This window comes from Homo sapiens, chromosome 8 (assembly GCF_000001405.40).
Source record: "Homo sapiens chromosome 8, GRCh38.p14 Primary Assembly".
NCBI classification, from domain to species: domain Eukaryota; kingdom Metazoa; phylum Chordata; class Mammalia; order Primates; family Hominidae; genus Homo; species Homo sapiens.
Genome location: NC_000008.11, coordinates 86014606 through 86041901, shown reverse-complemented (window position 1 = coordinate 86041901; position 27296 = coordinate 86014606). Strand labels below are relative to the sequence as shown.

The 27296-nt window shown below is 39.6% G+C and overlaps 1 pseudogene; it reads right to left on the bottom strand.

Moving 5' to 3' along the window:
• Positions 24724-25116, bottom strand: RPL36AP31 (ribosomal protein L36a pseudogene 31; annotated as a pseudogene).

Below are 27296 nucleotides of genomic sequence, written 5' to 3'. Positions count from 1 at the left end.
TTCTCTTGTCTCTGGCCTTGGCTTTATGGCCCTACTTTCAATGTTTTATGAAATGGTGCTTTCAGTATTAATTAGTGGATTTGTTCAGAACAATATTCTATGTAATTGTTCCAATTCCATAAAATTATGTAATTACATTCTATTTCTTGGTATATAAATTCAGGAAAAGAGAGAATCTTATTTGCCTCTGAGAAATAATGAATTGAAAGTACCAGATATTACTGTCTGTTTATTTATTCATTTTCCTGTTTTAAAGGTTTTAAGGTATCTTACGTAAATAGATAAAAATGAGATAAAAGGCCACTTGAATTGAGTGGAAAAGGAATGCAGGAAAAAAAACCCCTGAAAGTAGGAGGGATAGGAAAAACTAAGATAATATTCTCACATAAAAATTAGAAACAAAAATATAAAACATTTAAACCCATAAATTACAGAAGGCGACTTTATATTTGACTTCGTTTTCTGGTAATCCCTTCAAAGAAGAAAGCAGATACATGCTTCAATGTGGTCATAAAATTACAACAAATAATTTTAATTAGTTGCTTGAGGGAAGCACATTCATTCCTGACCCAGACTGAAAAGAATTTCTTGTGGGATCTCCCAGGGAGGATGTACAATGTAATTAACAAGTGCAATGCAATCAGCAACATCCTCGTAGTAAACACAGTGAGCAGTTTCCACAGGTTCTTGTTCATAATGTCCCTCAATGTCGGCCAGTGGGTAATTTGATGAAAACAAGTCCAGGGAGCTCAAAAGAACATGGTCCAGGGATGGAGCTCCATGTTTGTCTGGATTACTGGAGAGAGGGATTTTTAGAAGATTCAAATGAAGGAATAGCTTACTTGCTTTTCAAATAATATTCCAGAAATATTGTTTCTCACCCTGATTTTGGTTTGCACTGCACAGCAGTGATTCCAGGTCCTACACGTGACATTACCTGCAAGGTGGCTGCCTGCAGTGCCAGCTCAGGGCACAGCCATGTGGGTGAGCTGGCAGCCAGTGGGCTGGGCTGACAACCTGTGCCACACACACGCTGGACAGAAGCTGCCTCCCCTCCACATGGAGGTGGGATGAGGGCATATCCTTGGATGCCACCAGGATTTTCTTCAGAAATTGGAGCCTGCTGCAGTGCCCAAAAGAAGGGGCAACAAAGGCCACCAAAACTCCACAGTAAATGGCATGGATTATTTTAATATTTGAAAAACCTTAAAGTGACTGTGGCAAAATACTTACTTCTGATACATAAAATAAATTTCATAAAGTGTCACATGATTTTTATTGTTAGTGTCCCCTCTTGGTGTACCTTCTTCTAAAATAAACTGGCATAAAGAACTGTTTCTAGGGAAATTGAATGAATTAGTGTGTTATGTAGAATTAATATCTTTATGCTAGTTAAAAGTTGGGGAACCTCTGATGAAAATGATGACTTGGATTTAAAAATAGATCTCTAGTTCTTCTTCCCAGCAGATATCCTATAGGAGGGTCATTTATCTATTGAAAGCATACCTAGTTTGTGATAAGAGAGCCTCTTCATCTATATTTTGGCTACTTATGATTTTATTTTTATAGGATTCCTTATCAATTATTAACACATTTTCTTGATAATAAATCATCTAGGCACAGATGGAATCTCCTCCCACTGGTGAAGGCAAATGCTTGTCTCAGCAGAAGAGCAGAAAAGTAAGAGCAAGAAGCTTTTCCTTGGATACTTTATGCCACAGCAAAGCCAGAGAGAAGCCAATTACATTTGCTTCCCATGATGCTGCAAAGGTTTGGGGAGAGTAGGAAAATCTTGGACTTTTATATTGAGTCCTTGATCACCCACACCTCCTAGCCCCCTTCAACATCAACACCTCCGGCATTTAAAAAGTGGGGCAGTGAGTCTGTAGCAGGAGGATGCAGAGGCTGCTGCGTGTTTACGGAGCCGTCCAGGGGATTAACCGACTGGGTTCAGCTGGGTAGTTCTCTTTTGGATCTAGAGGCGGAGATCTCCTTGTTCTCACAAAATGTCTAAAGTTAGATTCATGCCCCAGGCAGGTCTCCTGGTACCAACTTGGTGTGGCGGCTCTGGCCACAGTTTAGAGCAACTTCAGAAGCATGCTGTTTCACTCTGTGCCAGAGCTGGCTTCAGTTTTGAAGCGATTAGCGAAGCTCAGCGCTGGGCGCCTTGCATTAGCATTGCTTCAGCGCTAAGGACATTCCTGGCCACAGTCACTGCCATTTTCCCCTACCCACAGGTGTGAGTTAGAGACAAGCAGAATAGTGAGCAGGGGGTGGATCATGCGGGAGAGAGCTTTTCATGGCCTTTAGGACAGACTTGTGCTTAGAAGGGAAAAAGAAAGCAAAAGGGAAAGGAATCGAGAACGTGACCACTTCTTAGCACACACTCCAATGTCCTTAAAGCAACCCAGGGACTCTTCTTCCTCTGCCAGAGTTCATCTGAAATAAAGCCCCCCTCCAGAGTGGAGAAGCCACCCCAGAGTTATTTGTGAATCACAGCTTAGGTTTGAGGGTTTCACTAATCCAGGCACCAACCAAGGCAGAGGACCCGGGACTGGGACTGGCATATTTCCAAGAGATGGCCAGTCTCCATTGGCACTCGCAGACAAAGCGGGAGACACTAACAGCTGAGGGGACCAGGCTTATTTTTCTCTGGCAGGAAAACCAGGGAAGAAGGAGGCAGTTTGGAAATGTGGCTGTGCACAAATGCCAACTTCAAAGTGCTCTGTGTACAAAAGCCAGCACAGAAAGTAGGCTTCTTAGTGGAAAGAAGTGCATTGCCCCAGTGGAACTATAGTACATGAAAGATAAGAATTACTGAAACAACTGTTTTCTATATTGCAGTATGGGTGATTCTGAAAATAGGACCTCTTTGTGAAGAATAGCCTGTGGCTGCTGGATACAAAATAAGAGAAAAGAAGCGAAATCAGTCCAGGCCTGGGCTCTTAACATTCATACCTATGCAGACTTCAGGGAAGAAAAAAATCTCTGAGCACAATTTTATCAAAAGCCTTTACAAAATTGGTAGATGGATTGAAACATGGGTGTTGTAATTTTGAAAATGCAGACTTTTTAAAAAAAATTCTGATAGCTTTTCAAAACAAGGAAAGAAGTAAATCTCGTTGAGAAACAGACATCTAACCACTACATTGCAAAGTAGTAAACAAGCTTTTCAGCAATAATGAAGCATAATTCATCATATTTGTCTTATTAAATATAATTTTTATGAAAGTAAAATAAATCCTATGTTAATAAATAATTATATTTTACCATTAATAAAGACAAGTTAAAATTACTTTTAAAGAATTGTTTTATTTTTAGCTTGTCTTTTTGAAATTTCTAGTTTTGCACAATTTTCCTGAAGTGTATGTTCATATAATGGCATATGTAGATAATTTAATAGTAAACAAAAATAAGTAAATATATTTACTGATAAAGACTAAATAAGAAAGTTTGGAGACCATTAATCAAAGCTATCAAATGACATTTCTAATAATCTGCACACTCAGAAGGATTAAAGTTATTGATATTATTGAATATCCTGATGTTTGCTTTGGACTCAGGAATGCAACCTCAACTGAATTTTGTCCACAGAGTCAAAAGCAAAGGAAAGGCCAACAAAAGCCACAGAATATCTTTGTTATTCCTAGCAGATTTTTTTCACAAGAAGATTAAGAATATAATTGTTGTTTATATCCCAGCCTATAATTTATCAGAAGAGAAAAACGGGAAAATGGAATCTTTTTTTTTGCAGTGTCTGATAAGTTAATAGTTTACATCTTAGGGAAAGAAACAGATTACCTTTTTAAAGATAGGAAAGCCCACCTCTAGTTGCAGAAGGAAGGGATATACTTGTAGAAGTTGTAAAGATAGTCAGAGGCCAGGATGGAAGCCCAGTCTTCCTAATAGTCTTTAAGTAGTTCTGTGGTCGGAGCATCACATTGTTAGTCAATGCACATCCATTTTTTTTCAGCCTTCTCTGTATACAAAGCACTGCTATTTTAAAACTTTCTTTCACAAAGTTTTGTTCTGCTAAGATCACCTTCAATCCTTAAGAATGCTGTAGTTATGTATATTGAGACAGGGTCTTGCTCTGTTGCCCAGGTTGGAGCACAGTGATTCGCCCATGGCTCACTGAAGCCTCGATTCCGCAGGCTCATGTGATTCTCCCACCTCAGCCTCCCTAGAAGCTGGGAGTAGAGGCGTGTGCCACCACGCCCAGCTACTTTTTATTTTATTTTATTTTATTTTATTTTATTTTATTTTTGTAGAGTTGGGGTTTCACCATGTTGCCCAGGCTGGTCTCAAACTCCTGGGCTCAAGCAATCTACCCACCTTTGCCTCCCAAAGTGCTGGGATTACAGGTGTGAGCCACTGCGCCTGACTGTAGCTATGTATTTACCCAGTTTTATTTTTAAATTTATTTTTATTTATTATATATTTATTTATTTTTGAGACAGGGTCTTGCTCTGTTGCTTAGGCTTGGGATCGTGCCTAGGGGCACAATCATGGCTTACCTCAGCCTTGACCTCCCAGACTCAAGCAATCCTCCCACCTCAGCCTCTCTGATAGCTGGGACTACAGGCACATACCATCATACCTAGGTAATTTATAAAAAAAAATTTGGTAGAAATGGGATCTCACTATGTTGCCCAGGCTCGTCTCAAACTCCTGGGCTCAAGCAACCCTATGACCTTGGCCTTCCAAAGTGCTAGGATTACAGGAGAGAGCCACCATGAAATAGAGCCACCAGTTCTATTTTAAATTTTCAATAGATTTTAGTAGCATTTCCAAGTGATGATAAATATTATGCTTTCAAAAGAAATGCCAACTCTGAAATTTGTTTAAGCCAATGAACATTTCCATTGTAGATATAAGGGCGAAATATGAGATGTGAGATGCAGCCTACACAAGTCAATGATCAGAAAATCCTTAGACACTTTGCCTAAATGATTGATTGCTCTTTTTGGAGTAGCCAGTGTGGCAGGCCTGGGACTCCTGGTCACATGTGGCTTCTTTGTGGGGTGATGACTCACCATGACTCTCATCCATCAGCCTCTTTATGTCTGTCTAGCTCAGCTGAACACCCCCATTCCCCTCTACCCCAAGTGAAAGATGGCCTGAGGCTCTTTATTTACTTTATTGAGCCGAACTAAAGAGCTGAGGGTGTCTGCTTCACATGTCACTTAGCAAAACAGCAGCAGCAGCAACAATAATAATAAAACCTATAAATATAATGAATTCTTTTTTATTTTTGGTTAGGTCAAAAATTGCTTATTTAAAAAACATACAGGTTTAAATATTCCAAACCCAATATTTAAAAGATAACTCTTCAGATTAACCATGCCACTGCTCTTCTGACCTTGTACTTAATGCAGAGGTAGCTGGACCTGTCGGGAAGAACCCATGTCCTCTAGGGTTCTAAGGAACTCCTTGTAGCTATAATAAGCTATGAGTGGAGGTGGCACATTGTCACTTGTTAAAGGGTCTGTAGGACTTTTTCCGTTCATATAAACTATGATGATAAAAACATCCAAGGTTTGTGCTAGCTGCATTATCACAGCATGAGCAGCCACCTTACAAATGTCCCGTCTGTCCCTTTCTGCTTCAATTTCATCACCAAGCCCTGTCCTCTACCTCCACAATGCCTCTCCACAATGTCTCTCTCATTCATTTACTTTTATCCATTCCCGTTTTAGATCTTTTTTTTTTTTTCCAAACTCTGCACTACTGCAGTAGATTTCAGACTGGTAGCTCTGCTTTCAGTTTCTTTTCTTTTTAATTCATTTTCCACATTACACACACACACACACACACACACACACACACACACACACACTTCTAAAACACAGATCTTGATTGTGGCATCAGCATTCTTAAAATCCTTGAAAGAAAAGGCCTACCAATAATCCACTGAATATATTGAAACTCCAACTACAGTCTTCTCATGCCATCTTTCTAGTCATCTCCTCACCCTCGTCCTGCCTGCATACCCACCATGTGTTGTGGTGACACTGCAGACCCCAGGTCACTGAAACACTCTGTGGGTGCTGCACTTTCTTTCAGTGACTCCAATTGTAATGTCTTGCCACAGCTGTGTGCCTACTGTTTTTACTGTTTGTCAGCATTAAGCCTCGATTAAGGCCAAGTTACATAAAAATGATTGTATAGCTTCACTTCCAGAGATTTTTCTTATTCTTTGTAAGGACACACCTCTATCATGTAAGACAATCACTAATTGTCTTAGTCATTAGTCTAGATTAGCCTAATCTAGACTAGATTATCACTGCCTAATCTGGTCCTGCTCCAGAACAACACTAGTGTAAGCTATTATGAAAATAAAATCTGAAGTAGATTCATGTGATCTCATCACCTGGGTTCTAAACAGTGATGACACTTGGCTAGCCTGTGTTATGACTGCTGAGTTGCAGTTATAGTCATGGTTCTTTTGGAAGAACAATGGATATTCCTGTTTCTTCATTCAGGCTCATGACTTTATCCAACTCATGACTAATTTTTTTGTGTATAAATTTTATTGTTTTTTTTTGGGTTATAACAGATGTACATGCTCATTGTGCAAATATGTAAACCCCAAAGAGAAAATCAAATTACCCATAATTACAATACTCAGAGATATCTACTGCCCACATTACCATACTTTATGTATGCGCTGTTTGGTCTCCACTTTTATATTGTGGAATTTTTCTATCTCTTTAAATATTCTTCCACACATTTTTAATGACTGCCTGATGCTTTAGCACGTGGATATATCATAACTTATTTAGCCATTGTCCTACCTTTGAGCATTTAGTTTATTTCCAAAACTTTGCTATTGTAAATAAATGGTATAATGAAAATGCTTGTAATGTCTTTCTTTCCATTTTTGTTATTGGGATAAATTCTCGGAATGTAATTGGCAGATCAAAGAGAATGAACTTTTTACCCTCTAAAAAGTTTACATAAATGTACACTTCCCATGCCCTTGCCAAGATATTGGGTACTGGTAGTTTAAAAATAATCTGGTCTACTCAAATAGATGAAAAATGATATCTTGACTTAATTTTGATTTCTTTACTTTCCAGCAGCAAGTGAGCCCAAAGATGAATTTGAGGGTAGAGACTAGAACTCAGGACATATGTATGGAAGGATAGTGTATGTTACTTTGATAAGCCGTCTTTACTCAACCCCTGTCATGTCTTTATTTGCCTATCAAAAATAAAACAAACAAAATAGTCAAGCCTGAAATGCCTTGTACTATAATTTATTGACAAATTTTATACAATAGCTTATTTTAATGAGATTTTCTTGGCAATCCCATATTCTTCCCTCTGCTGCTGACATCAGAGCTTGGGGAAGGGTTCAGGGCTCACTCAGTAGTCAAGATTGAGATGTGTCTAAACTCAGGACCAAGATAATATAAGCAGTGATGGTTTATGACCTTCAATTTGAGGCAGGGGCAGGAATAGACTGCTCATTTGCCTCAAAACTTCTGTGAAATAAAATGTTGATAAAAGAAAATAAATTGCATTTATTTTGTCTTTGTAGTGCCTACAACTGTTCTCATCAGAATTCTGCAGTTATGCTTTCAGGGAGGATACAGTTAAGTGGCTTTCCTCCATTTGGGGAAGTTGCTGGTGACTAACAGGCTCTTGGTTATAAAATAAGTAGAAAATGTAAGAACTCTTATCACCAGTAGCTGGCAACTTCTCACAAGGAATGAAAATACCAATTTTTAACTCTACTTTGTTGAAATGTTAGAGACAGTTCAATTTATAATTCAGAAACCAATTTCCAGTCCTGCAAAACAAACAAAGCAAGGAAGCAAGCAGAGTGAATTATTCTTCACTGAAACTGGGCATTCTTCTTTAAGGCTACAGACCTAGACAGCTGAGACCTGCATGTGCTTGTGGTTAGGCAAATGCTATAATTGCATATTTCTAACCTCAATTCCTCTCTCTAAAGTGCTATACTAATGTGAGGCATTTTTTTTGAGTAAGGATCCTTCACAGCCACACTATCAGGCCATCAATATCAAATCGCTGAAAGACTCAACTAAGGCCAAGTTACATAAAAATGACTTTGTATAGCTGTACTTCCAGAGATTTTTGATATTCTTTGTAAGGATACACCTCTCTCATGTAAGACAATCACTTTGGATATCAAAATTTTTCCTTTTGAATGGCAGTGTTATTCTACCAAATTGTTGATATTTCTACTCTTGTCCATTCAGATTTACTTAGCACTTGGTCTGTTCCAGGCACTGCATACAGCCTGGTGGCCACAAAGATAAAAGAGACTGGGTTCCTACCTGTCTAGGACAGTGGAAATAGGCATGTGTGGGAACAAAGCACGTGGACTCAACAGGTAATTGTCTTGAAATGTGTACAGAGCATGATGTTAACAAAGGACTTCTGACCTAGTATTGCCGGTGTGGCCCCTTCTAAATGATGGATGAATTCTCTATATATCTAAGATTCAGATGCTTATTCCTAATAAAGCAGATTGTATTAATAAGCATTTGACACTAGATGGAGCCATAAGACATTCAGATGTTAGCACTTTGTAGGTCTGGAGTAATACTAGTTCAAACAGAAGTCTGAGGTTAAAAATTTATTAAGGAAAAGGTACAGTTTACAGAGCTAACATTTTTTACTTTCACATACATTTATATATTCTTCAAAAACTAAATAAATTGTAGACCTACATTTTAGATGATTACAAAGTGGATTTTTTGTTTAAAAATTATACATAGATATTACCATACAGCAAAATGTTTGGTGTTTTTTATATTTTCAGGTCCAATCTTTATTAAACGGTCACTGTCTTCTATGTCAAGATGTTATAAGTTATGAGTCTAGATAGTATTACTCCCAGTAATGAAGCATTTGCATTCTAATGAGTTTCTTTATTTTCAGGAAACTTTGCCGTAAGAACAGATAATAGAATTATAATAGAAACATATTTATTATTTAAATTCTAATTTAATGAATGAGCAATTATTGAATGCTCCTGTGTATTATAACCTGGGCTAAGTGCTTTCTAAGCATAAAATATCATTTAGTTTTCAAAAGGACCCTTTGAAATAATTATCATGATTCATGATTCCCTTTTTATGATAGAGGAAACTAAGTCTCCAAGAAGTTAGTAATTTGCAGTAGATCATATTGTTAATAAATGCCAGGATGACTAATAATGTCAGATTGTCAAAGATCAAATGGATGCCTTAATGTGAATTTTAACATATCTGAAAATCTTCTTCATTTGTTTTTCAAATATCTATCTTCTGCCATCTATATTCACCCTTTCTGCTACTTCTATTAAATAAGTGTTGGAGCTCCTTCATTTATCTTCCAAATATTTTATTTTCCTTTTTTTATCACTCCATACCATATTTTAGGTAATTTCCCCAAATCTATCTTCCAAAATTGCTAATTTTCTCAATTCTGTTCAATCTGTTATTTAATCTTTTCATTAAGCATTTATTTCTATAATTCTATTTCTATTTTATTTGGTCTGCTCTTTTTTTTTATTAGATCTTGTCTTAGGGATCCTATTGGAGAAGTTGTTTAGTGCCAAGGGTTAAATAAAGGTGGAGGTTCTGGAGTCAGACTGCCTGGTTTGCATCCTGATTGTGTGATCTTGGGTGGGTTACTTAACCTCTTTGTGCCCCAGTCTCCTCTTGTAAAGTATGGTAGTAAAACCTACTCATGGGGTCACTCTGAGCAACAGATGAAATCACAAATGTGAAGCGATCAGCATAGCACTTTATATTAGGTAGGTGCTCAATAAATGTTAGCTTTGTTAGGGTGTGTTCCTTTTATGATTTCTCCATGATCAGAAGTTCTTGAGAAGCAGCCTATGTCATTCGTTGCATCTTCTGGCTTTCTCTATGGTTACTCATTGCCTTGTGAAGTTTGTAATTTTTTTTTTTTTTTTTTTTTTTTTAGACAGAGTCTTGCTCTGTCTCCCAGGCTGTAGTGCAGTGGTGCGATCTCGGCTCACTGCAACCTCTGCCTCCCAGATTCAAGCAATTCTCCTACCTCAGCCTTCCAAGTAGCTGGGATTACAAGTGCCCACCACCATACCCAGCTAATATTTTGTATCTTTAGTAGAGATGGGGTTTAGCCATGTTGGCCAGGCTGGTCTTGAACTCCTGACCTCAGGTGATCCACCCACCTCGGCCTCCCAAAGTGCTGGGATTACAGGCATGAGCCACCATGCCTAGCCAGAAGTTTGTAATTTTTGACTGTGAGCTTATCCAAGTGAAATTGAATTGTTTTCCACAGATGTCCTGCGGTGCCATGGGTTGCCAAGGTGTCCTTATAGGGTGAGGTCACATTTGCCTCTGCATGTCTGAACCAGCTTTGGTGATAAGTTATCAGTTTGGGTAGGGCCTCATGTAGACAAGGCCACCTCTGATCCCACACTAACACAGGGTGGGGACTTGATGTTTTGATTTCTAAGGGGTGAATCTCCTTCCACCCAAGGCCCTCTCACACTGTGTCCCTGAGCCCAAAGGATGGGTGGCTCAGCTTCTTGTCTTAGTTTGGAGACTGAATAGCCTTTCATGGCTCTCAGATTTAAACAGGTAAATTCCTCAGTTCAGTGTCCCATCTTCCTCCATACTCAGGGGACCATCACACTTTCAAGGGATCAAAGCTGACATCTAGCCCTGAGGCCTTAGATGAGCACAAAAGCTCACTGTCCTCTCTGGTTTTGCTTCTGCTCGTGGCTCTGGTACCCAGTTCTGGTTTTGTTTAAAACATGCCTAAGAAGTTTTTCCCATTTGCACTCAGGCATACTTTTAAAATATTCCATTCTTAAATGTTATCTAGAATTATCATGCTTTTGAAAGAGTGGGATGTTTTTTCCCACTAGCTCAGTCCACCATATGGACTGGAATTCCACTTTTACCATTTGAAAAAGAAACCCAGCATTGAGAAAGATAAATTAGATGGAGGTGAAGTGAGTGATGGCTGTTCTTGTGTGGGTTGTGGGGCTTGGCATCTTCCAAGCCTGCCTACACAAATGGAATATTGTCTGCTGCAGTTGTATGGTCCCAACGACAACTTTGCTCTTTTCTTCCGGATAAAGCAATCTGTGGCTCCCTAGAATTCCCACCCTGTCTATGAATGCAGCTTGGCAGATAAGGCGGGTTTTGTGCCTCCCTCAGGGAATCCCCCTCCACAATTCTATCCCCCATCACTGGTGACATGACTTGCTCAGTTTGGCCAATGCCCTTTGTGAGTCCCTGGAGTGTGATCCTTGCTGCTCCCAGCCCCACAAGAGCTCATATAAGTTGCATTCCAGATGTTTCCAACACATTCTCCATTACTGCCACACACCCAGGGCACAGGGGCCACTAGCCCCCACCCCCACCCCCACTCTGCCCAGCCCTCACTTGTTATCTCCCGGCAATCTAATCCTTTCATATCCTGGCCTCCAAAAGCTATGAAGCTAAACAGAAATTGCTTTTTAAGAGTTTTACTCTTGTGTTGACTTCAAAAGCCAAACTTTACATAATATTTAAAGAGGTTTATTTTGAGCCAAATATGAGTGATCATGGTCTGGGATATAGCCTCAGGAGGTCCTAAGAACGTGTGCCCAAGGTGGTTGTGTTACAGCTTTGTTTTACTCATTTTACGGAGACAGAAGTTACAGGCAAAGACATAAATCAATATGTGTAAGATATACATTGGTTTGGTATGAAAAGTCAGGACATCCTGAAGTGGGAGCTTACAGGCTACAGGCACTTTCAATGATTTTCTGATTGGCAATTGGTTGAAAGAGTTAAGCTTTGCCTGAAGAGTTGAACTCAGCAGAAAAAAATCTTGAGTTAAGATAAGGGTGGTTGTGGAAGCCAAGTTTCTTGTTACATAGAAGAAGCCTCCAGGTAACAGGCTTCAGAAAGAATACATGGTAAATATGTCTTACATGATGGACCTTAAAAGGTGTCAGACTCTTAACTGAAATCTCTCCTGGATCTGGAAAAGACCTAGAATGTAAAGGAGATTCTCTACAGAGGTGGCTGGAGTGCAGAGAGGGCGAATAAAACCAGCATAGCTATGGGTACATTGAGTCTGCTGGCTCTTCATGTGGGCGTGCCAAGAGTCTTTGAAAGGCTGAAGAGGCGCAGCTCCCTTGCTTGCATCTTCCGCTTTGACTGCTCCTCTCTGACTTACAGACCACTTTGCCCCGTGCACCAACTCCAGGCCTTCTCTCTGCTCAGGACTCCTTTCTCCTCTTTAGCTCCTTGACTTCACTCCCCAGTGTTCCATACATGATGGACCACATGTATTCTGAGAAACTGAGATTCAGATGGATTCTTCATGATTTCATAGAACCAATCAAGACCCAATTGGAATCACTCTTTTCAGCCTAGCTCTCTATAGTCACTTTTCCCATAATTCTTTCCCACAGTTTTTAAGGCATAGCAATAATTAATCTTGATTAATAGCCAACTGATCAAGGAGTGTGTTTAAATGTAGTGAATATTTTCTTTAAATAGAAATTTTAAAAGGTGAGTTATGTCCACTGTCTTAGGAAACAACTCTATACTTTAGTAGTCATGTCTAGAAGCCAAGCTAAATATACATCTGGACCATACAAAATTGAGCAGCTGGTTACTATCTTATTCCAGAACATTTTCTCCTCTCTTTCCTGGTTAACTATTGCTCACTTTTTATGTCTCAATTTAAATGTTGTTTTCTGAGAGAGACTTGATTGGAATCCTTAGTCTCTGTTTTTGTTTGTTTGTTTGTTTTTGTCCAGAGCACCCATATTCACTATTGCATTTGTACAGTTGGAATTATATATTGGTTTGAATGATTGCTAATTGAGCCCGTCTTTTCCTCTAGACTGTAAAGTCTATGAAGCTCTTATTTCCTCAGGATCTCACACAGTGCTTGGTACCTGGAAGGCACACTAAATATTTATTATGTAAAGACATTAATGAATCTTGCTCCTTTAAGAAATTATTCTGCCAACTAACAGCTACGGTTATAGGGAGAAATGGCTCTTTGGGAGTAGCGCAATATTTGAAAATACATATTTGACTCCACTCAAACCCACACAGCTCAAGACCAATTTCTTTATTAGCCAAGAAAATGTCTAAGTTCTAATTATTAATTTGTAAGTGAGTGCCCAGTCATCAGAGGTTGATGATGAACTTGAAGCTGAAAACTAAATAGAATTTAAAGGTAACAGGTTGGTTGAACCTGGGGTGGGAAAGAAAGCATCTGTTATTTTGTGTATGTAAGACTTTATGTTTCACAAGCATAACAGAGAAGCACATGTTGACAGAAGGAAATTGAAATGCAGAGAATAGCAATTGCAATCACAGTTTTCCGTTGCAGGGCTTACAATATTGCCAATATTTACTGACAAGCTTTTGGGACAATAAATAACTGAAAAAATAGTGATAATAAAGCAAATAAGAGCAATACTTGTGATATTCAAGGAAACACGCAATAGTGCAGACAAGAGTAATTCACTCTCCCTAGGCGAGTCAAGTAAGGCTATAGAGAGAAGGTGACACAAACTAGGTCCTCAAAGATGAGTAGGGGCTCACCACCTGGCAGAAAGAAGAAAGAGAATTCTAGGAAGAAGAAATGTATGCATATGGCATGATGATGTTTGGGAGCACAGCTTATCTGAAGATCAGAGAGACGTTGAGTGTGAAGGGGTAGGGGCAGGTGGTGGGCAGTGATAAAAAGGGAGGCTGGGAGGTGAGGCTGTGGCTGGCCTGGGAAGAGCCTTTCATGCTATGCTTTCAGGGATGGCAGTGGAAAAACAGTTTACATTACAAAATAGCATTGCAATTAACTACTGTCTGGAAGAGGATATATTTTCTGGCTGGCATATATCTTCCCTTTTGAGGTTTCCACACTGGAAAATAAGGAAGAGAACCATTTAGCATAAATATGACTGCATTTGTTACTCTGGCCATTAAAAGAGTCTCAAATGCTGTAACCAATGTTGTGGTTCCTCAGCAGAGTTCTGGGATGAGACAAGTAGCAGTACGGCACAGCAGTTCAGAACATAGAAGTTTGGCTTTAGATGATCTGAGTTTGAATACTGGCTCTCTCTTGACTAAGCGATTTAACCCCTTAAAGCCTCATCTGTGAAATGGACTTGAAAACAGTATTACTGATGACAACAATAGACACAGGGGACTATTAGATGGGGGAGACAGGGAGGGGTCAGGGTTTGAAAAACTAACTGCTGGGTACTACGCTCACTACCTGGGTAACAGGATCAGTCGTACCCCAAACCTCACCACCATGCAATATACCCATGTAACAAACCTGCACATTTACTCTCTGAATCTAAAATAAAATATGAAATCATAAGGAAAAAAATATATATATATAATTTTTTTTTCTTTTTTCTTTTTCTTTCTTTTTTTTTTTTTTTTGAGACAGGATTCCGCTCTGTCACCCAGGCTGGAGTGTAGTGGCATGATCTCAGCTCACTGCAACCTCTGCCCCCTGGGGTCAGGCAATCCTCCCACCTGAGCCTCCCAGGTAGCTGGGATTACAGGCACATACCACCACACCCAGCTAATTTTTGTATTTTGTGTAGAAATGGGGTTTTGCCATGTTGCTCAGGCTGGTGTTGAACTCCTGGACTTAAGTGCTCCACCAGCCTTGGCCTCCCAAAGTGCTGAGATTATAGGTGTGAGGCACCACGCCCAGCCTGAAAATAGTATTATTTAACTTCACGGATTTGCATGAGAATTGAAATAATACTTGTAAAACACTCAGTTCAGTGCCTCCCACAAATGGAAATAATCAATATTAGGTAACAAGAAGTCAACATTCAAGATGCATTCAGTACACATCAGAATCCAGTCTCTTATCCATAAAGCCTAAATCAGCACTCATTCAATCTGAGAGTTACCTCACTGGAACTTCACTAACATCAGAAATAAACTTGCTTTTCTGGGGCTATATTAAATGTTCCTTGCCAGAATCTGCACAGAAATTCCAATGGTAGATGAACAACAGCTACTTGGCATGTCAGTCACCCCGAGACACTGACATCATTAAGATAATCTCAGTACAGGTAGTTTTGTCTTAACTATCTAAAAAATAATAATTAAGAGACTTAAAAATTACATTGTGGTTACTGTGAAGCAAAAGAGTTGGAGTGACTTTGGAGCAGTCGTTACTCTTGTCATCATGAAAATGATAGAATAAAATGAGCTGAGACACACAAATTAACGGAGGATCATGCATAAGTTTTTATACCACGTGGCTTAGAAAATTCAAAGAAAGGTTGTAGTAGCTAGGCAAGAAGAAAAATGTGGTTAAGAAAGGCCATGGCAGAAGAGCTCTAAGAAAAATGGCTGGTAAGAACAGCTCTTTAACTCTTTCTCTCTGCCTCTCCTTGTCTTCTCCCTGAAGGAGTGCAGAAGGAGAGTGAGTGGGGAGGAATTAGTTAAGAGGCTGGCTTGGCATAGCCAAGCACAATGATAACTTTTAGAAAAAAGGCCCTAGACATCTTAAATTTATAACAAAGAAGAGAAAACAGAACAAAATATGCCAGCTATTCTTTTGGTAAAGGGAGCGAAGTGTGCCTCTTCGCATTTTATTATGAAAGGAAAAATCTTTTTCATACAGCCCATCTCCACTCACTGCTGGGCTGAACACAGAGAATGGAGGGAAGCAATTATGTGCAGAATGCCCACTCCCTGGGTGAGTGGGAGCCAGGCAAATACAATCACAGGTAGAATACTGGAAAATTTCAAGAACAAGAATGATGTTAACTTAGAAAATTGCCTCAAGTCAGGACTTTGAGATGACTGTGGGGATTATGAAAATGAATTATTCCCACATGTGATGATTATATAAGGAACTTGGCAGGCTTGTATTTATATTTCTTAGGCCTGCTAAGGATTGGATGTCCCCATTACATGTTCTCTCTCTCTCTGTCTTTTATTTTTTTGAGACAAGGTCTTGCTCTGTCATCCAGGATGGAGTGCAGTGGCATGATCTTGGATCACTGCAGCCTCAATTTGCAGGGCTCAAGTGATCCTCTTCCCCAGCCTCCTGAGTAGCTGGGACAACAGGCCCATGTCACCACTCCTGGTTGATGTTTTGAAAAATTTTTTGTAGGGTCCAGGAGTGTTGGCTTACACCTGTAATACCAGAACTTTGGGAGGCCAAGGCAGGAGGATTTATTTTGCCCAGGAGTTTGAGACCAGCCTAAGCAACATAGTAAGGCTGAGATTGAGAGATTTAGAGAGAGAGAAAGAGAAAGAGAGAGAGAGAGAGGCCAGGAATGGTGGCTCACACCTGTAATCCCAGTTTTCTTTAACCTGGTCTCACTACATTGCCTAGGCTTGTATTGAACATGTGGTCTCAGGTGATCCTTCCTCCTCGGACTCCCAAAATACTGGGATTATAGAAATGAGTCACTGTGCCTGGCCTCTCTCTCTCTTAACATTTCTTGATCCTTCTGTTGAATACTTTTAGTTAATATTTCAGGGAGTAAACATTAAAGACACAACCAATTAATAACTAAACCAATGTGCATATGTTTTAGTTTTTACCTACTAGATTTTCAAGTCCTTAAGGGCAAGAAACATCATGATGTTCCCACAACACTCTATAATTACCAATAATGTGACCTCAAGTGAGTCATGTGAACTGTCTGTGCCATGGTTTCATTAGCTACTATATATTAATGGTAGTAGCTCCAACATCATTTATTTCTTGTGATAATATACTGAAATGATTCAAGTGAAGTGTTTATCATAGTGCCTGACCCATGAGCTCTATTTGCTGATATGTTGCCCAATGTTTGTAAATGCCCTGCTAGACCTTTCACTCAGAGGGTGAAATCTCTCAAAGATTTTATCATGCTGCCCCGATGAGATTCCTAGAATGCTGTAACAAAGTGTCACAGACTAGATGGCTTAACACAACAGAAATGTATTGTTTCACAGTTCTCGTGGCTAAAAGCCTGAAATTAAGGCATTGGGAGGGCTATGCTCCCTCTGAAACCTGCAGGAGAAAATTCTTCCTTGCCTCTTCCTAGCTTCTGGTGGTTTGCTCTCAATCTTTGGTATTCCTGGCTTGTATCTGCAGCAATTCCATCTCTACCTCCATTGTCATATAGCCTTCTCCCTGCATGTCTGTCTTTCTTCTTCCCACAAGACACCAGCATACTGGATTTGTGGCATGCCCTCTTCCAGTATGACCTTATCTTAACTAATCAATCTCCAGTGGCCCTATTTTCAAAGATACTGGAGGTTAGGACTTCTGTATATCTTTTTGGGGTCACAAGCCCATAAAACTACTTTATTTTATGTTCATTAACTCTGTGGCTACCTGTAACCATCAAACATTAGTTCCAATTAAATAAACCATGAAAGGGGAGGTTATTTAGATTGCCCAAGATTATGGAAGACAGAAGTCAAGATCTCTGCTTCACAGCTCTTTACTAATAAAAAAGCTAACTGCAAGTATGTGACTGTAGATAAATAAATCACAAATGAAAGGTCAGCTTTTTTGGTAAGTAATTGCTTGATTTACATGTATTTACACATATTGTGTTTATGTTATGGTTGTGTTTTCATGTCAGGCTTGTTTGCAACAATATAGAATGCAATCCCAAAGCAACAATCTGGAAATAAAGTAAATGGTGTTTTGAACGCAATCTGGTACAGATGAGGTAGATAAATGTGATGTTGAAGGTTTTTATTGTTTTGTGCTTGTGTGTTTGTTTTTTGAGACAGGGTCTCACTCTGTCACCCAGGGCTGGAGTGCAGTGGCACAATCACAGCTCACTGCAACCTCGGCCTCCTGGGCTCAAGTGATCCTCTCGCCTCAGCCTCCCAAGTAGCTAGGATTACAGGTGTGTGCCGCCATGCCTGCCCAATTTTTTATTTTTTGTAGAGACAGGGTCTCACTAATTGCCTAGGCTGGTCTCATAGACCTGGGTTCAAGCGATTCCCCTGCCTTGGCCTCCCAAGTGCTTGGATTACACGAGTGAGCCACTACTCCCAGGCTGTTTGTCTTTTTTTGTTCATTTGTGTGTTCAATCAAGAAGAAAAGATTATTTTCCAAGAAAAGGATGACAAAGGGAATCCAACAAAAAGAGCACCTTTTGGGATCTTGGTGGAGTCAGAACCGAGTTACAATGTCTAAAGTCGTAAAATCACATAGACAGGAGAGCAGTGTCCACGTAAGACATTCAAATGACCTGAGCAGTCCTGAGACTTAGTATGGATGAGGATACAGAGAGGCACTAAGTACCTTTTCTGTGGTTCCTGGGCAGGTATGGTTAGAATGTTGGACTCCAGAGCCCTTGCTTGATTAATCGTCTTGCGCAGCCTCTATCTAGTTGGGACCTGCCTGGCCCTGTTGCTTCTACCACCTCATGAAGCTTTCTCAGTCCCAGGCTTCACACTGGGGCCTCTCAAGACCCCACCTTCTCAGAGAAGATGTCATTGAGCAACAATATTCTCATTACATCATCCTTGTTTTATATTTGCATCATATTTGTTGAAGAATACCTCATTTTGATTATACTTTGTAGGAATAAACTTAATTATTTGAAATGCAGTTAAAAGCAGCACCTATATGACAGCAAGAAAAACTATGGAACACCAGTTGAGCAAGGTTTATGTATAAGACACTGCCTCACTCTTTTTTACCCATCAATTTGATCCTCAGAACTCTTAGACATAAGGTTGGATATAAGATACTATTATTTGTTATTCAGAGATTAGAAAACAGATTCATGAGGTTGGTGCTTTGTCCAAGGCCTACTGAGAAGGGAGTCATTCAGTCTGGAGAGATGTTGAGATCATCTTTGGTCTTAGATGTTTCTATTCTCTTCTGGAAGCTTACTAGGCCTACAGCTAGTGTTGATCATACATTTTGTTTGTTTAGGTCCATTACATGGCCATCACTCTGGAATGTGTCCAGGCTAAAAGAATTTAAACTTGTCTCAGGTGCAATTAACCTGCTGGTTGCTCTCGGAGTCACATCTCATAGTGCTGCCTGGCTGTTCCTGAGGAAGCCTCACATTGGCAGATGATCAGCTCTGGAGTGCATATCCTGCTGTTATAAATCTGCATTTTCTAGTTGTAGAAATACAAAAATATTCCAAGGAAATGCACACAAAGTGTTTTTGAAAAGCAAACATTTGTGCAAAATGATGTTTTTCATTTTTCTCTGTGCTGCTGGCTGCATTTCTTTGGAAGGTGATTATTATACTGAATGATTGTTAGCACAGAACATCAAGGCCATCACGATCTCATTTTATGCAGTCAGCATTTCTATTGAATTACAAATGTGGCATTCACATTCTCAAACCATTTTTGTCTTTCTGGCATTTGCCTGAAAGACTAAGTTCCATTGCTTGTTTTAATAATCTATGTCTGTTTGACATACAGTAATTCAGATCTTCCTTTATGTGGAAAGATGAGCATCCCTCCTGTGATGAGATGGTCACCACCATTTCTGACCTAGAGGGAGGGTCGTAGCAGGTAAGGGTGCAGTGTGGGGCTCTGAGTCTGACATAAGGTCAGAATCCCAGCTCTGCTTCTCTGCTGAAAATTGCTTAACTTCTTTTGGTCTTGGTTCACCCATTAGTAAAATAAGGATAATAGCAATTATACCTGTTTCTTAGCATTTTAGTGAAGATTAAAGGAGATTGTTTGGGGGAAAAATGTTTTTTCTCTTCTATACTCTCAGAACACTTCGGGTCACCAAAACATGGGGATTTCTCCTTTACTACACAATTCTCCAATTCTTTGCAGACACCAACTGGGTGCCCTACAATTTGTAAACCTAAAATAAAATTCTAATCTCCCCAGCAGGCTGAATGGAACCCTTCTTGGCCAAGGGTACCCCAAAGAAACCTGAAAAACTAGTTCAGGCCATGCTATGAAAGGGGGTGAATATACCTCATTACACCCTCATCCCTTTGGAACTTAGACCCAACTGACCAGCATTAACATTAAAACAGATATCTTAAAATTCACAAAACAGACTTTGTAGCAAGATATACCAAATTCTGACTCTGATATCACATCACATGACAGAAAACAGGCCCTGAAGGGAATCAAAGTAATTTTATCCTCAAATTTATTTGTTTAACATGAGAATCTCTTTCCCTTGCTAGGTCTTTTCAGCAAAGTCTGACACCTTTTAGGGTCAAATAAGAGATATTCTCCATCTATTTTCTCTGAAGCCTGCTACCTAGAGACTTCATGTACATGACAAGAACCTTGGCTTCCACACCTCATTTATCTAAACTTAAGCACTTTTTCTGCTGAATTCAACTCTTCAGGCAGAGCTCACCTTTTCCAACCAATTGCTAAGTATTTGAATCCACATATGACCTAGAAGCCCCTGCTTTGAGATACCCTGCCTTTCCAGCTCAAACCAATGTATACCTTACATGTATTGATTTAAGTCTTTGCCTGTAATTTCTGTCTCTCGAAATAAAACCAAGCTATAACCAAACCACCTTGGGCACATATTCTCAGGACCTCCTGAGGCTGTGTTGTGGGCCACAGTCCTTAACCTTGGCGAAATAAACCTTTAAGCTGATTGAGACCTGTCTCAGATACTTTTTGTTTTCCAAATTTAATTCAATTCTGACACCAACATAAGTTAGTGCACACCCCCACAGGTGAAGGGCTCAGGCCCATATGACTGCCCCCATGTAAGACGTTAATTGCAAGTAGTGGGTTCCCAGGTTACCCACAACTTCTGATGGACCAGTTACAAACTGGAGGGTCTCATAACCCCCTTCTTGGGTTTGATCATTTGCTAGAATGGCTCACAGAACTCAGGGAAACACTATCTTTACCTATTTGTTATAAAGAATACAACTCAGGAAAAGGCAAATGGAAGAGGTACATAGAGCAAGGTATGGGGGAATGAAACCACCTTTGCAAAGATTATGTTACCAAAACACCACAGGTTTGTCCTAGGTCAAGTTGCTTGCCACAGTGAAAGCCAATTACTGAGACAATGAGTATTGCCAGGAAAGAAGGCTTTAATCCAATGCTACAGAAGAGGAGATGGGAGATCAGACTCAAATCCATCTCCCTGACCAACTAAAATTGGGGGTTTATATAGCAGGAAAGGAACATAACTACATGTGTGTAAACAGGAATTGGGGGGTTGAGTAAGGAAGAGGAGTTAATTAACCAACAGGAAGCAGATGGTCAGATAGGCAATCATGACAGGTGAGAGATCTGGCATCTTACTGTTCAGATGCAGTGATCTGGTAAGTTTCAGTTTCTTGATACTATCTGGGAGGACTGATGGTTTGTTTCCTGAGAAAGGGACTCAGATAAGATAAATGTAACTTTCTTAAGTTTTAAGATTGGGAGTATCAATTTCTATGTTTATTCAAAATAAACTGTAAATGTCACTTCTATGGGAGAATTGGGCCAGTTTCAGTTTCCCCTATTTATCAGTTCCTCACTCGTGTGGAATCTGATCGTTCATCTTTCTGGCTGCTTCATGCTAAGGAAGGGCATTGTGGGTAGTTCCATGCAATGGGTGACCATGTGACCACTCAGGAATCAAAGGTTGATCTAATATCATGATTTTCTTCAGAAGCACACTTTTTTTTCTCTCCAGTCCCCAACTTTCACCAAAGACAAATCACAGCAGGACCAACCTACCTGCAAAATAATCATCAGTCCCACTATACTGGGCCTGATTACCCACATGAAGTGCAACAAGAATCACTGTCCATATAGGCTCTTCTAAACTGGCTTTTCTGAAACCTCTCACAAGGCCATTTTAGTCAAAGCCCTGGGAAAATAACCAGTTCTTCCAACTGTATCCCATTATGAAAGAAAACAAATTTTTATTGAACTTATGCAAACAACCACGTTGTCATGAATTAAGAATATTCACAAATAGTTTATGAATTCTGGAGAAATTAGACAGAAAGAGAGAAATATGTCTCAAATTCTGCATACTCTACTTATTTGCTAAAGGCTATAAATAGCTCAAAGAAAAAAGTTCTGTCGACTCTGAAAAGCAAAAGAATCAGCAATGTTTCAAAGAAAAAAGCCATAAAAAAGTACTTCTGTCCTCCATTAGTTCAGTCCATGCAATCAACTTCTGCTCTGCTTCATATTGGATTTGTAAATGTTATTGACACATCCACCTTTTAATTAGAGTCCTGGACATTTTTCTCTAGTCCAGTGGCACAATCTCCAGTTATGAGAAACACGCATTTAAGAGTCCTTTTCATGAACTCTCCCAGAGAAGAAAGCCCTGGACTGTAGCTGATTATAAGCTGCTTTTTGCAAAGAATCAAAGCAAAACAATTGTGGAATGCAAAAGTTTCAGGACAGACACAATTGACAAGGAAATTTGGTAATTTTTGTGGCATATAAAAACTTAACATAATAATCATAATTATTACTGACAACATATATTAAGACATATCAAGATTTTAGGAATCTCATAAAATCCTGAAACACATTAACAATACATCTATATAAACATAACTCAACAGTTAACATTTATTTAACGTGTGTCTGGTTCTTCACCAAGTACTATAAACTCACTTTATAGTCTCCATTTTTCAGACCAGAAAACTGAGACTAGAAAAATAAGCAACTTGCCAATTGTCGTGCAGAGATGCTGAATTGCATAGAATGGACATGCTAATGTGAAGATTAATTTAGAATTGCATCTCCCAAGTTCTCTAGTGGTGCCTAGCACCCTAGTGGTGACAGAATATTGGAGCTTGGAGGGATTGTGGTGTATATATCCAGTTCATTGCCACCAGTGTACAGATATTTAACCTTTGGGAGGCAGAAGACACAAAACTTAATGTGCTCTAACAATACTGCCTATTCTAGTTCCTGTTGATGTTTAGGATGGCAAGTATATACTTTGTCAGTAGTGTAATACTCAAGTTAACTTATGTATACAGTAAATGCAGCCCTAGAAAGCTGATATCTTTATTCACAGTTCTGAGAAGCATCCAGCAGCTGTTTAGCTTTCACTCTCAGAGAAAGCTTTCTGGTGTCCAGAAACTTCTCCTTTGCCTCATTCCCTGATCCTCTGATAGTGGCAAAATGTGGGTTCTGTGTCCTTATTATGGCAGATAAAGACCTACTGATAAATCCAGTTGTCATGACTTGTTATTTCATTTATTCACTCAAGCAATTATTTATTTATTCATTAGATAACCTGACCAATATTAACTTTATTTTTTTAATTTTATTTTTTAAATTTAATGTAATTTGATTTTTTTAAGAGATGGAGTCTCCCTTTGTCACGCAGGCTGCAGTGCAGTGGCGTGAACGTGGCTTACTGCAGCCTTGACCTCCCAACCTCAAGCCATCATCCTGCCTCAATCCCGCAAGTAACTGGGACTACAGGCCTATGCCACCACGCCCAGCTAATTTTTAAATTTTTTGTAGAGATGGGGTTTTGCCATATTGTCCAGGCTGGTCTTGAACTCCTAAGCTCAGACGATCCACTCACCTCGGCCTTCCAAAGTCCTGGGATTATAGGCGTGGGCCACTGTGCCCAGCCTGACCCATATTTATTAAGCACTTAACCTGTGCTGTGTACTATCCTAGGCTCTGGGGATAAAAAGAAAAATAGGACATGATTCCTATCTTCAAGGAATTTACAAGCTTCTAGGAGAATCAGTCTGGTAAACAAAAAAGCAGTATAAAGATATCAGTACTAAGTTAGAAATAATGTTGTGTAAAGAAGAAGGAATAAAGAAGCTGTGATTCATCAAAGTATTATTTATGGTAATTACGGTATTATGGCAAGACCATGGGCTTCCTGACTATTCTAGGATTCATGTCACTCAAGTAACTATAAAAATTAGAGGCAAATTACCAATTAGAAACCATTGAGAGACAGCATGATTACATCAAAATGCTGTTATGATTTTATGGATTTAAGTGTGTGTATATAGATAGCACATATGGTAAAAAAAATAAGCGTACACTTTGAATCATTAACAAAACGGGCAGAGAACATGGGTGCTGATCGCTGAGTCTGAAAAATAGTACATGTCAGAGCATCGGGAATGAAATTGTCTGCCACACTCTCTTGTTAAAATGCAATCATAGACATCAATGGGCTTTGTTCTGCTTCTCCATCTCTTGCAGGTGGTTGACAAGATAAACTCTGAAAGATCTTCTTAGGAGATATTGTTTCTCATTTTTGTTTTCTTTCCATTCCTGTCATTCCACACTCTTGTCAGGGTTCTGTGGGCCTGGTGCCACCTGCCTCATGTCCAAGGGCACACAAAAAGACTGCCATTTTTGGCAGAGGGCCGCTGGGGGAATAACAACTTACAAAGGAAATACTTGTGAAAGGGAAGTACATACAAGTCCAGGGTCCAGGAAATATTTCTTTTTCCTCATGTACTTCTTTTCGAATGAGAACAAACTATGGTAACATATTCTAACTGCAGTGTTGTCGGCAAGATGTCCTCCTCTTCTTTGCTGAGCTAGTAAATCATTTTAGACTCCTCTGAAGACTTGGCCCAGAGCCCTATAACACTTATTGAAGCCAATTCCTCTTCTCATCAAGTAAGGACAGTAGTAATTTTCTTCCCTGGGGACATAAGTTTATGCTTGTGAAATTCAGAACTATAAATGGTCCAAATTTGGGAAAATGAAAAAATGATAATGTACTATAATATATAAAATATTATGATACTATAATTGAGGGTTACTTTTTTACCTTTCATTTTTTTTGAACATAAACTCAAGATTTTATTGTCTTCATAATAAAAGAAAAGATGACACTTAGAATTGGATCACTTGGCCCTTTCTCTTCTTATCTACTCCCAGTTCAAAACGCATCTGTTAATAGCCTTAGACGTGCAGTTGGGCTCAAAGCACTCAAACTTTAGCACAATCTTCTTTGTAGTTTTGGCCTTTTTCGGGATAATCAGCTTAGTCTGCCCACCATAGCCACTCTGCTTTCTGTCATAACGCTGCTTTCCCTGGGCATTCAGAGAATCCTTGCTCTTCTTGTATTTTGTCACTTTGTGGGGTTGGTGTTTGCCACACTTCTTACAGAAAGTCCGACGGGTTTTAGGAATGTTCACCATGTTTGTGTGAGTGCTATCACCACGGAAAGAAAGAGGCCGGGCCAGAAACAGAAGTATATAGCACCTTTTTACTTTTCTTTTGACAAGGGCACAACTGTGGAGAGTGGATTGTGTCTTAAAGCCAGATGGCCTTGTAATTGATGCCTTTTGTACTTACTAGCCAAGTGTACTTACGTTAATTTCTTAACGTCATTTGTCTCCTATATAACACCATTTACAGCAGTAGGATTAAATGTGAGTAGAGGACAAGGATACTGCTAAACACTAGCAGATGCCAGGAGCATACTCTGCCCCTCACGTTTTGACAATCAGAAATGTTTTCAGACACTGCTTGGGTGCCGAAATCATCCCTGGCTGAGAACCATGGTCATAGAGAAAGACACCTTGGACTTGGAGAATGGAAAGTGGGCTCCGCTAGTTATAACACCTACTTAAATTTTGCTTTTCTCATTTTTAAAATGTAGGGGTTAAGCAAGATGATCTTTAAGATGATTTCTACTTCTAACAAGCTGTGATTATGTGGAAGAAGAAAATAAATGTACCAGGGATTGAGGAAGGCATGGGGTTGAAGACCAGGGAAATTGGCTAAGATAGGGAGTGGTCAGGTAAGTTATGTATTTCTGAGCAGACAAAGTTGATAATCCATACCCCTAAATAGACAGGATTGCCCACCGAAGCTAACCAGCTGGGGAACAAAGGGCTGGAAATCCAGACAAGGAATTGGCACTTCTACAGATGACAGTGATGGTGGTCATGATGATGATGATGGCGATGGTGACAGTTATGGTAAGGACAAAGCAACTAGTATTTATTTAGCACTAACTGTGGACCAGGTTCTCAGTCTAGGCGGTGGGAAACGAAAGGTCAGCATGTAGGCTGGGGTGAGGTGTAATGGTAGAAGTTACAGAGGAAAGCTAGAAAAGTCAGGCTGCCCTTAGATCCAAGCCAAGGGAAAGCAAGAAACTTGGGACTTGGGCCTATGTTTCATGGAAGGAAATGAGACAAGACCAGTAGAGAATGTATCTTTGCAGATGAAAATATTAATGCTTCATTATTAAAATCCAAGTGGAGTCATTTTTAATAGAAATAGAAGAAAGGGAACAGTGAGAGGAGGGTAATCCTAAAGGCGCTAAGAAGCAGCGGAAGTGGTCAAACAACAAATCAATCTCATTAGCGGAAATATTTCCAGGTTGTAACTTTCATTCTTTCTCTCTTAGGTACATTTTATTGTTAATTACATTATATTTTATTTATTTTTATATTGAAACTGAATGAGTCAGGGCAGTTTATTTTGTTTTGGATTTTAGGATTTACCTATAGTTATTTGCCAGAGATTTAATACCCTAGTGGATATGTGCACACATTTTACGTGGTCCTTTTTAAAGCCAGTCCAATTTCTTTTCAGTGTTTGGTACTGAATGAATGAATCCAATTCTTAACTTCTTGCTTCATCAGACCCGGTTTGCTTGGCTTTTATTATTTATTTATTTATTTATTTATTTATTTATTTATTTATTGAGACGGAGTCTTGCTCTGTTGCCAAGGCTGGAGTGCAGTGGCACGATCTGGGCTCACTGCAACCTCTGTCTCCTGGGTTCAAGCATTTCTCCCTGCTTCAGCCTCCTGAGTAGCTGGGATTACAGGCACACACCACCATGCCTGGCTAATTTTTGTATTTGTTTTATTAGAGGTGGGGTTTCACAATATTGGTCAGGCTGGTCTCAAACTCCTAACCTCAGGTGACCCACCCACTTCCTTGACTTTTAGGAAGATCAGTCTGTTAGGCTGGAGTTGCGATGAGTTACCAAGAAGGAACTTTGGGACTCCAAATCCTTAGTGCATTACAACATGTGCTTTGGATAGTGACCTGTCTGCACATCCCAAGAAATCTTTCAACAATGTCCACCTGAGGTGAAAACGTTTTCCCCCATGAGCAATGCTTAGCATCCCATTTTTAAGTTCATTTTTCACTGAAGTCTATGTTAGTCATCTGTTGCTGCACAATAAATTATCCTCAAACTTAGTGGCTTAAAACAAGAACCATATTTTTCACAGTTTCTGTGAGTCAGAAATTTGGGAACAGTTTAGCTGGGTGATTCTAGCATAAGATCTCTCTTGAGGTTGATGTCAAGAAGTTGGCAGGGCCATCAGTAATCTGGAAGCTAAAGTGGGGGTGGAGGATCCACTACCTTGATGTGTTGCTCATGTGGCTG